The sequence below is a fragment of the Homo sapiens genome, chromosome 10 (assembly GCF_000001405.40).
Source record: "Homo sapiens chromosome 10, GRCh38.p14 Primary Assembly".
Lineage (NCBI taxonomy): Eukaryota > Metazoa > Chordata > Mammalia > Primates > Hominidae > Homo > Homo sapiens.
The window spans coordinates 90,921,751-90,938,947 of record NC_000010.11 but is presented as its reverse complement, the minus strand read 5'-3'; the positions used below and the strand labels follow the sequence as shown (position 1 = coordinate 90,938,947).

At 41.3% G+C, this 17,197-nt stretch overlaps 1 pseudogene, besides 2 other annotated features; it reads left to right on the top strand.

Annotated features, from left to right (window-relative positions):
• Positions 8,031 to 8,684: an enhancer, noted in NCBI's record as "VISTA enhancer hs495". NCBI's record gives its function as "enhancer in: hindbrain (rhombencephalon)[5/5] | midbrain (mesencephalon)[5/5] | nose[5/5]" and the evidence as "EXISTENCE:transgenic organism evidence [ECO:0001131][PMID:17130149]".
• Positions 12,772 to 13,658: an enhancer, noted in NCBI's record as "OCT4-NANOG-H3K4me1 hESC enhancer chr10:92685047-92685933 (GRCh37/hg19 assembly coordinates)". NCBI's record gives its function as "activates a minimal SCP1, AML or CMV promoter by ChIP-STARR-seq in naive and primed H9 embryonic stem cells {active_cell/tissue: H9 hESC(naive and primed)}" and the evidence as "EXISTENCE:reporter gene assay evidence [ECO:0000049][PMID:30033119]".
• RNU6-740P (RNA, U6 small nuclear 740, pseudogene) lies at positions 16,113 to 16,217 on the top strand (annotated as a pseudogene).

Genomic DNA, 17,197 nt, shown 5'->3' with positions numbered 1-17,197 from the left:
TATAATTTTTAATAGAAAGTTTTATTGTCTATCCATTTTAATTTGCAAATTGGCATTGCATGATATTTGTCACTAAATGAAGATCTGCAGTCCAATGGGTTTGATAGTCATTGATATAGACTGAGAACGGAGGATGAAAGGGGTGGTTACCTTTGTACCATCTCTTCCTTGTGGTACGATTTTTGTACCATCTCTTCCTTGTGGTACAATTTTTGGCCCCAAATCTTACCGTGTGTGGATGTTCTCTTTGCTTTTTAGCTATAGGCCCCAGATACCAAAACTAGGACAAGAAGACAAGTGCCACTCAATGTCTTGTTATAGGTATAAATTAGCTGATAATATTTGCTATTATTGTGCTGGTGATTTTGGGGAGGATGTTGGGAATATGAGATAGAAAGGTGCTATTTTCCCTCTCACGAATTCCAGTTCCTTCCTATTTTATTTCCGCTTTTCGCTTTGTAATAAATTAGTCAGTAGGCCTATTTTATTACCTACTTTGGTGCAGGTACATTTAGTTCAATTCAGTTTACTCCAATTCCAGTTTGGGCAGAATCAATTGAGTTCCATACACATGTGTGCCAAGCCTATGTGGAGTAAGATGCCAGGCTTCTATACGAATGAACAAGACAGTGTCATCAGCTGACCTTGGATGGCTTACAGCCTTGTGGGAGAGATGGGGTAGGATAAAACTCCTTCTCAATGGCAGGAGGATTAGCTCAGGGCAGGGGTGGGAGAGGTCAGTGTTGGCGATGGTGAGAGTGAGGGAAGGAGAGAGAAGGGCAGGTGTCAGGGGAAGGCTGAGCAGTCTTAAGTGGAAGCCATGTCTTGCACCAATCCCAGCTTTCTCTGTCCTCTGTTACGTTTGCTTAACACCTTCTGTCCCCGACTCATAAGGGACCCTTGGACTTAGAGACAAGCAAACATGAGCATGGAAAAGCCTAAGTCCCAGGTTTAAAGTACTATGAAAAGAGATCTGCACAACTTCTCAAAATGCTGTTTTGTCCTGACTGTCATCAACTTGCTGAGAGAACCTGCAGAAGTCTCAGAATTCCTGAGTTACGCCTCCATTTCCTTTTCTATAGAATTAAGGGGCTGCACTAAATATATTAGAGATGATGTCATTGTGGCAAGGATGCCATCGCTCCTCACGCTGGTGTCGGTGCAGACATGCTTAATCAACAGTGACACTTTTTCTTTTTCTTTCCTTTTCTTTTTTTATATTCTCTTTCGGAAACAGAGTCTTGTTCTGGTGCCCAGCCTGGAGTGCAGCAGTGCTTTCACAGCTCACTGCAGCCTCCATTTCCTGGGCTCAAGTGATCCTCCCACCTCAGTCTCCTGAGTAGCTGGGACTACAGGTGTGTGCCACCATGCCTGCCTAATTTTAAAATTTTGTAGAGATACAGTCTCACCACGTTGCATAGGCTAGTCATGAACTCCTGAGCTCAGCCAATCCTCCAGCCTCAGACTCCCAAAGTGCTGGGATTATAGGTGTGAGCCACCATGCCCGGCCTGTGACACCTTTTCTTGCTGAGTCTTAATACATCCTGGGACTATTTTCTCCCAAATAACACCACAGGCCAGTCATGATCAATTGACCAGAGTTGGCCCAGGAGCAGGAGCTCAAAGGGCATTGAGTAAGGAGTCAAACCCTTCTTAGGCCCAAGTCTTGGCTCTGTCAGTTACTAGTTATGAGACCTTGACCAAGTCACTTAACCAACTCGGGTGTTAGTCTCTTTTTCTGCTAAAATGGAAACAATAACCTCTAAGTCACAGAGTTTTAGAAAAGATCATCTGAGATCACAGATGTCAAGCTTTGCAAATGGTATAGGGCTGGACCAATCTAAATAGTTCCTGCTACTCTATGGTCTCTGTAACATTCTGTGCAGGATTTACTACATAGACTTACTGTACAGACCCAGGGGAGAGTAAGCAGGCTACCCATCTAAGACATTTGTTGCTGATTTTCTGCCAGTTTTCAGAGTTCATTTGCTCTCTCTAGTTGGAGTCAGAGTAGCGAGCCTGGCCATGAGGCAGGTACTTGAAAACACAGCCTATAAGGCCAGCCGACTTGGGTTTGAATCCAAGATCTCTTTCTTCCTAGCTGTGTGATTTTCAACAAACCTTTTTAACACATCAGGCTCAGTTTCTTCATCTGTAATATGGGGGAAAATAATAGATTTGCATTAAAGAGTTACTGGGAGATTTAAATGAGCACATTGAACCTTTATCCCAGGGCTTGCCATGTATTGTAACTGCTCAACAAATGATAACAAATAGATTGGATTGAAGGAAAAGTTCCATTACAGTGTTTAGAATTTGTCCTGGGTGGAAAGTTTTGCACCCTACATAACCTTTCCACAAGATTGTTAGACCTTTTCTAATAATTTCATGAACCATGAATTTAAGGGAAAGGCATCTCTACTTTTCTGGCTTAGACTCCCCTGCAAAATAAAGCATGCAAAAAGGAAACATGGAAAAATTGAGCTGAACCCTTGCCATTCTGCTCTCTAGCCCGTCTCTCTGCTGTGCAGCTGCAGCTGTCTTCTGTGACCAAAGTTGTTGCAGCCCATTCTGAAGATTTTCTGCAGTTCTAGAAGAATTCAGTAAAGAATGAATTCCCTAAAAGTCCATGGAGGAACGCTTAATTAATGAAAGTGCTTTAATAAAAAAGTTATTTCCCCATAGGTTGGTTGAAAGCTTCTCGACCAGTCTTTTGCTCAATCATAACCCTGGAAAAATACTTCTCAGGTGAGTTAAATCTCAGGCAAACAAAATTATCCTTTATCCTGTACTCTAAGAAATTGTAGTATTCTAGAAAGTTCCTGTCATTAGCCACAGAAGGAAATTATAGGAATTCTTGACATTCAGAACTTTGATGTGGCAATTTCTTTGAACATTCTTTTAAAAGGAGAGGTTTTTTAAAGACATTTCAATAGTTTCATTGTTGTACCTGAGCTTTCCTCATCCAGAGGACTTGCTCTAATTATCTGAATGATACTAAGGAAAATGGTTTCCCTTCCAGTAAGTGCACAGCAAAGTGATTATAACAGACATGAATGTAAATTGCTGTGGAATGGAAAATTGACTGTATTGTAACAAGTGGCAGCTGACAGGAGAGAGCCTTTGCTGCCTTTTATGAACGGGACTCTGGCTGAATCACTCTGTCTCTTCCTGACCTTAAGTGTCTGGATATAAGGTGGGCCAGTGTTTGTGACAGCTCTGAGTTTCCCAAGGACCATGCTGGGGGCGAGCATTGCCTGGCTGCCGTGACCTCAACTCCGCCTGAAACCCATGACCATATTTGGGCCTCCTTAATGCTCACTCCATCAATAGAAAATGCATCACAGCAGCAAGGGCAGCAACCATCACCAGAGTAGAAGAAAGGCAAAAAGAAGGCAGGGAGATGGAGAGAGAAAGAAAGAAGGGCAGACAGCCAGAGACAGTTGGGGAGAAATACACCGAGTCCCATGGAGAGATGCTCAGAGAGAGACAAGACCTACCTACAGGCAGACACAAAGGAAATGAAACACAGGCAGACAGCTAGACAGACCAGAGAGAGGAGGAAGTGAAGAGAGAATACCAGGAATAAAGAGGGAGAGATAGAAAGAAGTGAAAGTAATATCTGTCTGTCTATCTATCTATCTATCTATCTATCTATCTATCTATCTATCCATCCATCTATCTTCTATCTATCCATCTATCTTCTATCTATCTATCTATCTATCTATCTATCTATCTATCTATCATCTAGCTAGCTAGCTAGCAATCATCTATCATCCATCTGTCTGTCTATTTCTCTGTGCATCTGTCTGTATTAGTCCGTTTTCATGCTACTGATAAAAATATACCTGAGACTGGGAGGAAAAAGAGGTTTAATTGGACTTACAGTTCCACATGGCTGGAGAGGTCTCATAATCATGGTGGAGGGTGAAAGGCACTTCTTATATGGCAGCAGCAAGAGAGAATGAGGAAGAAGAGAAAGTGGAAACCCCTGATAAACCCATCAGATTTTGTGAGACTTATTCACTATCATGAGAATAGCATGGGAAAGACCGGCCCTCATTATTCAACTACCTCCCTCTGGGTCCCTCCTACAACATGTGGGAATTCTGGGAGATACAATTCAAGTCGAGATTTGAATGGGGATGCAGCTAAACCATATCACTATCTATCTATCTATCTATCTATCTATCTATCTATCTATCTATCTATCATCTATCTATCATCTATTATCTATCTATGATTTATCTGTCTATTATCTATCTGTCATTTATCTATCTATTTTCTATCTACCCATTTAGATATACATAAATATATATGTGTACATGCATGTTTATTCAACCCATTCACACACCAAAAAACTGGCTGGCCAGCGACCTAGTAGGGTCTCCACTCCGCATTCCCTCAGAGTTCAGAGGTATGCATTTGCTTAGGATGTAGAACATAAGGTACTAGTGAGCTCAGCTGCAACAACTGCCTTTCAAGAACAGGGATCATGCCTCAGTATATCTGACAAAGGATCAGGAAGAAAAAAGCCCTCTTTGCTTGGAAAATTATTATCCAGCACTTCTAACCAATTGCTTATGTCTAATTTAGACTTTTCAGAATTAAAAAATGCTAGATTAGCACTTAGTAGTTTTAGGTTTTTCTTTAATATAACTCAAATTATGAGAAAGATATTTCAAAACCCAGGTTCCCGGTCCATTCCTTCCCTGTCATTGGCTTCCCTGGCCCCTTTGCTTCAGTAACTCAATCCCTACTGGAGATGAGATTTGTTTAACAACTGAGCGCTTTAGAGTGTTTTAGTACTTTACTTTTGTTTGCTTTTGAAACAGTCCCACTCTGTCACCCAGGCTGGAGTGCAGTACCTCAATCCTAGCTCATTGTCACCATGAACTCCTGGGCTTGAGTGATCCCCCTCCCACCTCAGCATCTCGAGTAGCAGGGACTACAGGCATGCACCACCATACTCAGCTAATATTTTATTTTATCTTACTTTTTGTAGAGATGAGGTTTCACCATGTTGCCCAAGTTGGTCTTGAACTTCTGGCCTCAAAGGATCCTCCAGCTCAACTACCCAAAGCTCCAAGACTACAGGTGTAAGCCACTGTGCCTGGCCAGCACCTTACTTTTGCTAGAAATTTTATCTTACCTGTGAGAAGCTGTAAGCTGTATCCTCACTGTCTTGCCTAAAACGTGGTAGATATGAGTTGAAATGAAGTAACTGGTTTTATTTCTGTCTGCGTTTCCATTTCTGTCAGGAAAGGGTTCAATTTTTGGCATAAATTCCTTTCCTGGATTTATGCCCACAGTCCTGGAAGAGTTTAGCTATCAATCCCCCAAAATTTGATTGATTTGTCATTTTCTGATGCTGGAATGGGTTTGTTAGAGGAAATTTATGGACACGTTACCCTAACTGGCAAGAGCCTTGAGTGTGGAGGATTTCCTGAAGAGACACTCCAAGAACCTTCTGTGGCTTTTTGTTTTTCCTTTGGATGTGGTATGATTTTTATGGTCTATTTGTTATAATGCTTCCCTGACGTAAAATACTCATACAGCATAAATAACCTCTCCCTGAAATACTTAGAAACTTTCCAATCTGGAAGTCTGAGCTTAAGCTCCCTGCTTTAAATACACTACAGACAAATTATCCACTGGAAGAGACAGCAAGTTCCTATCAGGCCAAAACAGTACTTTTTACTATATTTACCCATTCTTAGGATGCCTAAGTACACAGACTTGGTGTTTATATATTTCGATGCTATGTTGTTTATTGCACAAAAATTAATTATTAGTATAACTTCTTGTTGGATTATGTCTTTCAGTCTTCTTTGTCCCATTTAGTGCTTTTTGCTTTGAATTTGATTTTGTCTGGCACTGATACTGTCCCTTCTGCATATTTTGGTAGCATTTACATGGTGTCCCTTTGTCTATCCCTTTATTTTCAACCGTCCAGTGTCATCCTGGTATATCTCTTATAAATGGCATAGACTTTTATTGTTTGTATTGTTTTACATCATATAAGAGTATCTTTCTAAGAAAATTCATTTTTCTTTCATTTTTAGGGTTCCAGTTCCTCCCCCCAAAAAATTTACTATCTTAACCATTTTAAGAGTATATTTCAATTGTATTAAATGCATTCATAGTGTGCATCCACCACCATTATCCATGTCCATAACTCTTTTCACTTTGTAAAACTGAAATTCTAAACTCTTATAACTTTCTATTTCCCCCTCCCTCCGGCTCCTGGCAATCATCACTCTACTTTCTGTCTCTATGATTTCGAATGCTCTAAGTACCTCATGTAAGTGGAATCATACAGTATTTGTCTTTTTGGTTTATTTCACTTAGCATAATGCCCTCAAGGTTCATCCATGTAGTAGCATATGTCAGCATTTCCTTCCTTTTTAAGGCTGAATAATATTCTATTGTGTGTAAATACCACATTTTGCTTGTTCATTCATCTGTCAATGAACACTTGGGTTTCTTCCATACTTTGGCTATTGTGAATAATGGTGCTATGAATATGGGTGTGCAAATATCTGTTCAAGACTCTGCTTTCAATTCTTTTGGGTATACACCCAGAAGCGGAATTGTTGGATTTTAAGAATATCTGTCTCTTTCTTTCTTTCTCTCTTTCTCTTTTTCTTTCTTTTTAAAGATGGAGTCTCGCACTGTTGCCCAGGAGGGAATGCAGTGGTGCGATCTCGACTCACTGCAAGCTCCACCTCCCGGATTCACGCCATTCTTCTGCCTCAGCCTCTCGAGTAGCTGGGGCTACAGGCACCTGCCACCACGCCCGGCTATTTTTTTGTATTTTTAGTAGAGTTGGGGTTTCACCGTGTTAGCCAGGATGGTCTCGATCTCTTGATCTTGTGATTCACCTGCCTCAGCCTCCCAAAGTGCTGGCATTACAGGCGTGAGCCGCCGCACCCGGCCATTATCTGTCTTTCAAAAGAGGCATTTAACTCATTCATATTTATTGATTTGGGTATATTCTGGCCACTTTCATATTTTATACTTATTTATTTACTGACATGTTCAGCAAATATTTTCTCCACATTTTTGTTGTTTCTCTGATGCAGGGTCTTTGAAAATTACAGATGAGTTGTGGTTGTAACCATGGTGATGAGGAATAACAGAAATACAGTTTTTGATGCCATGTCTTGAAAAAAGCATATTTGTCTTGAAGTTAACAGTGTCAGAAGTTGGTAAAGCCTCTTAGTAGTGATTGCCAAAGGGGTCACGCTTAGTTGTAAAGGCATTTAACTGCAACAAAGGTGCTGTGGACTTGGAGTCATTCTGGACTTTGAATTGGCAACCCTCACCCCCCAAGATACACACACATACATGCACACACACACACTTGCTATGAGACCTTGACTATTTAACCTCCACACTCACTGGTTTCCTCATTTGTATAAATGCCAGAGTGACTGAGGGGATTAACTGGAGCAACATGGGAAAGCACTCTCCACAATTCTAGGCTTATTGCAGTGTCTTAACAATGTCTGCATAAAAATAACACATCTCTCTTGGTTTGTGGTTTGTTTCCTTTTCAGAACTGGGGTCTGGTTGGTATGCAGGAAAAGAAGGCATGTGAGCTATGTTATCTGCTTGTCATCACAAGAGTAACAAAGTGGCAGGCCATGGATTGAAACACATCCGGAGCATTGGGGTGGGCCTTGGAATTCCACAGTGAAGACTCCTAGATAAGGAAATGCCAAGGGTGGGGGCTGCTGAAAGCACTGGCTTCCGCTGGGCAGCCACAAGGTTCTTTTGGGAAGGCGGATGAGGAGGGAATGTGGCTTCCAGAGCCACCAAATAAGGAAGGACATCATCTTTCTCCACTTCATCCAAGTGTGAATGTCAGCAACCAGAGTCACTTACTCCACGCCTTCTCACTACCCACTAAATGTGATATTGGAAGGACCTAGGACAAGCGCTGAGCAAAGTGGCACAGTCAGGAAATTCTTATGGACAAATCAAACATTCCTTTAATTTTTCAATATGATTTCTAACCTCTATTTTTTTTCCTTTTCCTTCTTTTACCATACAGAACTTATCTGGAAAAGAGGACAGCTGTCTTTTGAAGGCAGGAGTTGCTTTAAACATCCCCAAGCTCTTGTAATCACAGCCCCGCCGCCCCTGCCCAGTGAGATTTGTCCAGGGTGGTGGGTCTGATCTGTAACTAACCCAAACTGATTCCCTGGGGAGCCATTCAGTTGTGCCTCCAGAAGTCATTTCCTTGCCAAACATTCCTTTTCAGGGAGAGGACCTTTTCATCCCCTGGTAAACAATCCCCAGCCTGCACAGAGCAGAGAAGGGTGCCTGTCCCTCTCCTCATTCTCCACTTAGTCCTGAGCTGATTCCAACCCCAGAGGCGTCAGTCTGCTCTATAAATTCCTTTGTGAAACCTGAGAGCCTTGGCTCTGAAGGAGAGCAAAGATCTTGGAGGGGTTACAGTTCCCCTCCTCCCTAAAAGATCTGCTTGTGTTGGCAGCAAAAGAGTATGTTTTTGCAAACAGGCTCTTCCCTTTCTTATGAGAATTCAGTTTAGAAGCACTGCCAGGCTCCTTCTCAGTGGGAATAAGATCACCTCCCTTGCAGGTCTGCACTGGAAAGAGATGACATGCCTGAGGGGATTATTCTAGCTAAAAGACTCTGAGCCTCTTTCTCAACCAGTCACTATTAGAAGGGGCATGGTTGCCAGGAGGCAAGGAGAGCTAACAAGTCCTCAGCCCTGAGGTGCGTAGGCCAGCTCTTTAGTTTCAATCACTGTGGTTTTTAAAATCGGGGGATGGAAGGGAGGAAGGTAGGAGGGAAGGAAGGAAGAGAAGAAAGAAGGGTGAGAGGAAGCAAAGAGGGAGGAAAGAAGAAAAGAGACATTGAAAGAAAGTGAGAAAAGAAAGATAAAAAGAAAAAGAGGAGAAAATAAAGAAACCTTCGGTTCATTGGCCTTCAGCTGGACCATGACCTCGCACACCCACCCTGGTACCCTCCTCCTCCTCCATCAGCCTCCCAGAGCATTTGTGCTTCATTCATATTTTAGCCATTTCTTAATATACATGTTTCCTTAACCCTGGAATTTGGAAATGAGATAATAAATCATCAACTAGTAGAATCTTAGAAAACTCGTCTTTTCAAAAACAGTATATTATTTTGGTGCCATTAAAGAAAATCAAATGAAGAAAGCAGTCAGCTCTTGCCTAATTGTAAGACCTTCAATCTCACCATTTGCATCATAATATTAAGTGGGTTCTAATGGATCTCATAATCCCTGAGGTTTCACATATATTCAAGCTTTCCCTTGTATACATAGGATGGCTGAACCAGTGCGAGCTGACGGATGCCTACATTTTTATACTCTCATCAGAAACATCTCCATGCCATTTCCAGATCGATCGTGGTGGGTGGGGACATGGGTAAGACATTCTGGCTGGGTGAGTCTTCTCTACCTAATCTTCTGCCCAGCTGCCTGCACCAAAAGCAGGTGCAGCTGAGAGGGCACTGTCCACAGGAGCCTTATTCTGTAGCATTCCTGTGGCTCTAGGGAAGCCTCTGAAAAACACTGATGTCAGGGTGGTGTGCCAGCAGACTTGCCCACTTCTTGGCTTCTGTCCCTTCCCTCCCTCTGACCCCATGCTGGGGCCACCTCCTTTTTTGCTTTCCGTTTAAACACGTTTTTACTGAGTGCCTACTATGTGCTGGGGACTGCTCTCAGCACTTGGTCTACATCAGTGGGAGAAACAAACATCTCTTGCTTCGTGAAACTTACGTGCTAGGGTGTCTGTTTTACTAAAATGTTTTATTCATGTTTAAATTTTGAGATATACAGAAAGTTGAATGAATAGTAGAATGAGCACTGTCACCTAGATTCGCTAATTGTTAATATTTTACAGTTGTACTCTCTCTCATCTTTCTCTCTTTCTACACACATGCATACCTCTTTTGCTGAACCATTTGAAAGCATCATAGGTCATTCCTACATACTTCAGAATACATCTCCTAACAATAAGGACATTCTCCTCCATTACCACAAAACCATCATCATGCATAAGAAAATCATCACTCAGTTAATAATATTGTCTAAAATACCTTCCATACTTCTCCAGTTGTCCTCAAAATGTATTTTACAGCTTTTGTGTCTTGAATTACAGGATCCCACCAAGGTTCATGCTCTTTCTTCTCTTTTAATCAAAGAGAGAACAATTCCTCACTTCTTTTTTGTTTTGTTTTTCTAGTCATTTACCTTTTTGAAGAGCCCAAGATAGTTGCCCTGTTGAATGTCCTACATTCTGAATTTGTCTGAAATTGGATTCAGGGTAAAATTTTTGGTAAGAACATAAGTGATGGTGTGTACGGTATTTCTTGTTGCAGCACTTCAGGAAATGGATAATGTCAAGTTGTCCCACAGGAACAGACTAAACAAACGTATTGAATGAGTAAGATAATACATATGTATAGAACCTCTTCAGGTGTCATTTGCTCCAGTGTGTACAGTTACAGAACTGGACTAGACGATGTGAAAGCCCTTCTAATGGTCCAAAAGCCTATGTTCTGAAGAGCTTAACAATACCCAGTTATGAAAATGGTTTTGATCCAGTGGATGAAGGTAGTTCAAGTAATGGCAGTTCAAGTAATGGCAGTTCAATGGCAGTAATTTCACCTTTTAGCTTTTTTCCCTTTGACTAGCAAAAGTCATCGGAAAAAATGCTCAATACGTGTTTTTGGTGATGATCATTCCTGAAGCTAGAATGAGACAAACAGACTAAGCTGCCCAGCTGTAAGTAAGCCACAAGAAACTGTATTGCAGTAAGATTTTTAAATATGAGGATAACGACAAAGGGAGGTTTTAGTTTTTAAAGTAATAGGGTTCTACCTGCCTAACTCTGGCCCTTCCTGGTCAGGGAGTGGACTCAATGACCACTCAGTGTGTTACTGGCCCTAAATTTCTCTGATTCCCAAGGAATCCATAGTGAAGATATTCTGTGGCATTTGCCCTTTATTAGGAAACTCCAAACTACACCAAGAAAATATTTTTTTCGGTACTTCTTCTTGAAGTCAGAAATTGCATTTTAAAAATAATTTTCCTCTGCTTTAATAAATGGCTAAAAAGGTTAATGGATTTTCTATCTATGTTTGCAGTCACAGAAGCACTTATCTCTCATTCCAAGTAGATGTTCTATGTAATTGGGTGTGAAGTAATTCCAAAGTTGCATCAAAATCTTTTCAGAGCGTTACTATGACAATCAAACTTCCTTTTAAAAAATCATCTCAACGCAAACTCTCCATCATCCCACCGTCCATTGAGTGAAATTTAATCTCATGAAGTAAATTTGGCTTTTGAGAAAGTTGAGGGGTGGGAGGGGAACCATTATGCATTCACATTTTAACTGATTCTCCCACTCACACCCATTCTTCTTGAGGTTGTAATAGACAGGCCAGTTGTCCTTATCACAATCCCAGAATGTTGATTGTTAGAGGCTCTGCCTTCCTAATGTTCTGGGAACCAGTGTAGGGGGCCTAAACAAGAACCCATTATTTGGGGAAATAAGAATGTAATAGAAAGTCACTGAGATCCCTTCCTGGACACTTATCACTACCTTTTCTATGGGGACAGATGTCAGCCTAGGCAAGAGCTTGGGCAGGGATTCTCAGAAGGGGAAGAAAGAGGATGAGGCCTTATAAAAATCTCTGCGGTCTTAGAAGGTTTGAAGAGGCATAATCAAAATTACCACTACTTTTATTTCATCTTGACCCCAAGTTGATCTTCTTGAAATTTCTATCCATGTAACAGAGAGTGTGAAATTTTTATGTTTATCAAGTGGGAGAATGTCTTAAAGATAGTGGAAATATCCTGGGCTAGTGAAAGCTTTATGGACCGTTTCCTCTTTTAGAGGCATTGGAGAATCAACTTCACTGTCCGCACGTGATGCTGCAGTTATGAATGTTTATTTCTACCTTTTGATTCAGTGACTTTGAGACCTCAGTAAAACTTTAGGGCCCTAGAAATCATTTTGTTCTCAGCTCTCCTTTTATAACTTCAGGATTTGAGATGGTAAGAGGTGAGAGGACTTGCTCCAGTGAACACAGGGCAAAGCCAGGATTTAGAGGTAAGCCTCCTGATTCTTCATCCCATCCCCACCAGACCCACAAAACTACTGTCTCGCCTCACTCTTCTTGATTTGTGGCAGAAGAAGCATGTTATATTGTCTGTAGTTTTTGTTAAATACTTCAGTAAAACTGTGTGAATGCCGTGAGGGCAGAGTCGTGTGTCTCTTGAGAGCATAAGTATATCTCAGCTCTAGAAAAATGCCTGACACAAAGTAGAGCTAAATAAATATTAAATGAGTAGGCCAGGCACAGTGGCTCATGCCTGTGATCCCAGCACTTTGGGAGGTCAAGGCGGGAGGATCACTTGAGGCCAGGAGTTCAAGACCAGCCTGGCCAACATGGCAAAACCACATCTCTACCAAAAATACAAAAATTAGCTGGGCATGGTGGCATGCACCTGTAGTCCCAGCTGCTCAGGAGGCTGAGGCAAGAGAATTGCTTGAACCCGTGAGACAGAGGTTGCAGTGAGCCAAGATCGTGCCACCGTACTCCAGCCTGGACAACAGAGCAAGCCTCTGTCTCAAAACAATAAAATAAAATAAAATAAAATAAAATAAAATAAAATAAAATAAAAAATAAATGAGTAAATTGTATGTGTGTGTTTCCCATGGTCTTAGCATAGGCAAGAGTCTTCAACAATCAAAATTCTGAGACCAGAATAACAATAGCTTGACTGTCCACTACAACTTGGAGAAAATACACGTGTATTTAGATACATATTCATTTAATTCTACACCCTCGAGCAGTATTCTCAATGCTGGGAGGAAATTAGAATCAACTGGAAAACTTTAAAAAATACCAATTCCTTGGATCTTTGAGCAGAGATTTGGATTTCATGTGCCTGAGCTGAAGCCTGGGCATCAGCATTTTTTTAGAAGCTTCACAGAGGATTCTAAGATGCACCCAGCTTAGAGAATCACTGCTTGAAGAAATGTTAGTTCACACCTGAGAAGCCCTGACTCTGCGATTACAACTGTTGGGGTTAGTTAGCATTTGAAAGACACTAATGAGCTGCCCCCACTCCAGTGGAGGTAATCCCAAGTACTTTACCTATCTTTACCTTTGATAGTATTGACAGATTAATGGTTAATTAGCATGAGAAATGTTACCAATTATTTCTCATTGAAAGGAGAATTTGAAATATGTGGTTTGGTTAGAAAAGAATATGAGCCCTGCTGGGTCTCAGGTAAATATTTATTTAGCCCCACTATGTGTCAGGCACTTTTCTATGCAGTTGGAGTCCTAGGCTTATAGTGAGTGCTAGGACTCCATCCTATCTTGTGTTAGGCCATATGTGGAGGAGTCTGTAATCACCTTGAGTGGACTAGAAAATTAGCTGAAATATGCTGCCAGAATGTGGTTGTGGTTTCATTTGCTTCAAGTGAAACTTTTTCTTTTATTTTTTTTTAAATAAAAAAACATAGAGCCAGGATCTCGCTATGTTGTCTAGGCTGGTCTCGAACTCCTAGGGTCAAGTGATCCTCCTGCCTTGGCCTCGCAAAGTGCTGAGGTTACAGGCATGAGCCACCATGCCTAGTCAAGCGAATCTTTTGTGCTGGACACTGTCCAAGGGCCTAAATGGACAAAGGGCTGGGCTTCATGAGTTTACTGAATAGTGCATGTGGCCCTTTGTGCCTGTTGGCTGGTGTGAGTTCATATGTGTGGCAGAATTTGCACTGAGATACCTTATTTACTGTAACAAGGCACCTGCTGTAAGGTGTGGAGGTGAGACCTACAGCCTTCACCTACCTCTAACGTCAGGAGGCCACCGATATCCGTAAAAAGTAACCTACTGTGGGCAGCCCAACTGTGTTAGGGCAGTTTGTGCCCTTTCTATCCAGAGTCCTGGGCAGAAGGACTTTAGTCTTGATTCTGCCTTTCGAGAGGCAAGGAAGGCAGGTGCCACAATCCTGCTGAAAATGTTTCCAGTACTTTTCTGCTTTTCAAATACAGGTTATCCCATTCCTGGCAGGGGAGGGGAAACAACATTAAACCTTATTTGCTTCACTTTTATGACCTTCCTTTGGCATTTTCAAACACGTAACTGAGCCATGGCTTGCTGGTCAGGCTAAGTCAGCCACTTCTCTGGGCCAAGGAAGGTGCGTAACAGCTGGGACTGGGAAGGCTATTAAAAGGGATGGCAAAATGAGCAATTGTAAGTACAACAGTGGAACAAGGAGGTTTCCAAGTCAGAATCTGGCTACAGTCCTTGGAGCACTTCCTTTTAGTATCAAGTTGGGTGTTCTAAGGACAAGGAGTGTTAATAACAATAAAATTTTATGTGCTATAAAATGCCTTTTTAGAAAATAAAAATGCCCATTTTAAAAAAACAGCCTACATGTCCACAAATGAGAAAGTGGTTAAATAAGAAATGGTAGGTCCGTGCATGGAAATTCATGCAGTTGTTTCTAATAGCAAGATAGATTTGTTTGTGCAGATAGGAGACAATCTGTAAGACACGGTTACTGAGCGAAAAATAATCAAGTATCAAATCGACAGTAAGATCTGAACTAAATAACATTCTCTGTGCTATTTTTAACAATAATGTGTCTATTATATAGTTAAAATATAAGAATGAAAAGTTGGAGTAGAAGTAGAACGTCTGGAACTTCATATTTTATACAGAAAGATAAAACTGCCCTTGGACTTGGAGCTGAGCTATGGCACATGGATCTGGGTGGGGTCCAAGCGCCTCTTTTAATCCCTAGGTGACAGCAGTAATTGCTTTAGGTGCTACTTCTCTGCTTCTCACTTTCTCCAGCTATAACCATGGTCCTAATTCTAGTCACATGTCATTTCACCCATGGAAATGCATAAATCCTGAGGGGAGTGGGAAAAGGCTCATGGGGTGACACTGGAGAAGCTCAGGGATGCTTCCTTTACTCTTTCTGGTTGGAGATGGGTGATGCCAAGTTGCTTTATGATTGTAGAACCAACTAGGACCTTTATTGTTTTAATTCATCTTAGTAAGGATAGATTATGTCCAGATTGAGGCTATGATAAAGCCAAATACACAAATATAAGAATTTACACCACTGGGTGAACTTTTATGGGAAGGATGCTTCTGAAAAACAAATGACAGAAAACTCTCCGCCAGGGGAATTTTTTTCTCAATTTTGATGAATAAGAACGATTTGAAAATACAATGGTTGTTGTTTTTATCTTTTTAGAGAGCTAAAGGTGCCTAGAATCTCTTTTCAAAAAGCAGATTCTCTCATGTTTTTTTTCTTTATTTGTTGTCATATTCTTTTTACATCTTCTGACCACTTATCCTCAAGTTGTACCTCTCATGTTTTATAATGACAAGCTGGATCAACATGGGAAAAGGTTGAACTGGCAGTGATTTCACCAGCCCTGACATCCTTGCATCCACCAGCGTGCTCCTTTAAGTTCAGCCCATTCCATCAACTCATCTTCAAGTGTCATCCTCTGCAAAGTTTTCTTCAAGACTTCCTGGAGCCTCTCTATAGAATCAGCTAGGTTTCAAGGGATAATTAAATGCCTGGAGAAAGAAAAGGGCTTGGTAAGCCTCCCTGCCCACTTTCACTTGCATTCTTTGAGGTGATTGAAACAGTAAGGAGCCATTTAATCAGTTTTGGTTGCATCCTGAGTGGGTCTAGGTGAGACTTGCCCTAGGAAATCTTTTGGGCTCAATGATTGTCTGCTTCTGTTGGATGGAATCAGGACTCTTCAACCTAGCATTCACCAACTAGCTGTGCATCTGCAGCAAGTTACTTAATGTTTCTTTGCCTCAGCATCCTCTCTGTAAAATGAGAGCATTAGTCTTGCTCCAACTTCGAGGGCATGGACAGCTCTGGGATTTCATATCCAAGACCCTTAAACATCCCACAGTCCTTCCCCCAAACACTTCTCCTCCTAATACCTCCCTCAGTTTGGGTCAGGCCTGGAACAAAAAGGCATACGAAATGGTAGAAAAAGTGTCCATGACTACTTCTGACTTAGATGAAGAGACCAATGAAAATAGTAATGACTCTGTTTGCTTCAGCAGGACATATACTAAAATAGGAGCTATACAAAGAAGATTAGCATGGACTCTGTGCAAGAATGACACACAAATTTGTGAAACATTCCATATATTAAAAATAAATAAATAATAAAGAGAAAAGGAAAAAATTAAAAAGAAAATAGTGATAGCTGTGTCCATCTCAAAGAAAAGCCCAGGAGATTTCCTTTAATTAACCCCCTTTTAAGATAGAATATTAGGAGACCGGAACATATGATACAGGAGGTACTGGGAGGGTCCCTCTTTGTCAATGTTTTGTCTTGGGGTGGGGAGTCGATGTCTTCTCAAAGTTTCAGAAACACCATCCACTGACTGAGCATTCAAGGGGGAAGAGGAGAATGGCAGCCACATTTGTTGATTGGGTGAGTTTGGGGAGAAATAGACACACAAAGGTCAAACATAACTTCCTAATTAACACTTCCCTCCATTCACAATTCCCTTCTCCCATTCTTCTCTCCTTTCTTTTACTGAAAAAAACCCAGTTTTTCCTGAAACTATAAAAAGACCCCAGTATTTTTACATAATTTACACCTCAAAGATTAGAAACCAGAAATAGAGACCTTTTTCAACCCTTCCGGAAGCAAAGTGCATTATCCCTCCAGCCACGTGTCTCAAATCTTGATGCATCAGAATCATCTGGGTGCTTTGAAATTCAAGATGATTCCTACGAGTTACCATAAATCAACTCAGAATTCCCTGGAGTGGGGCCCAGGGATCTGTATTTCTGACAAGCTCCCACAGGTGATTCCTTTCCCCACAGCATTTGAGAACTTCAGCTCAATGACCTAATCAGAGTCCTGCCATTGCTAATAACTGGTCTCATTTTTTTCATATATATATATAGTATTTTTGGTAGAGATGGGATTTTGCCATGTTGCCCAGGCTAGTATTGAACTCCTAAGCTAAGCAATCTTCCTGTCTCTGCCTCCCAAAATGTTGGGATTACAGGTGTAAGCCACTGCACCCGGCTGATAGCTGGTTTCATTTACTCTATTTCTTGACCACTCTGATCCATTTTGAAGTAAAAATGCTCCAATTATTATGCTGTTTTAGAAC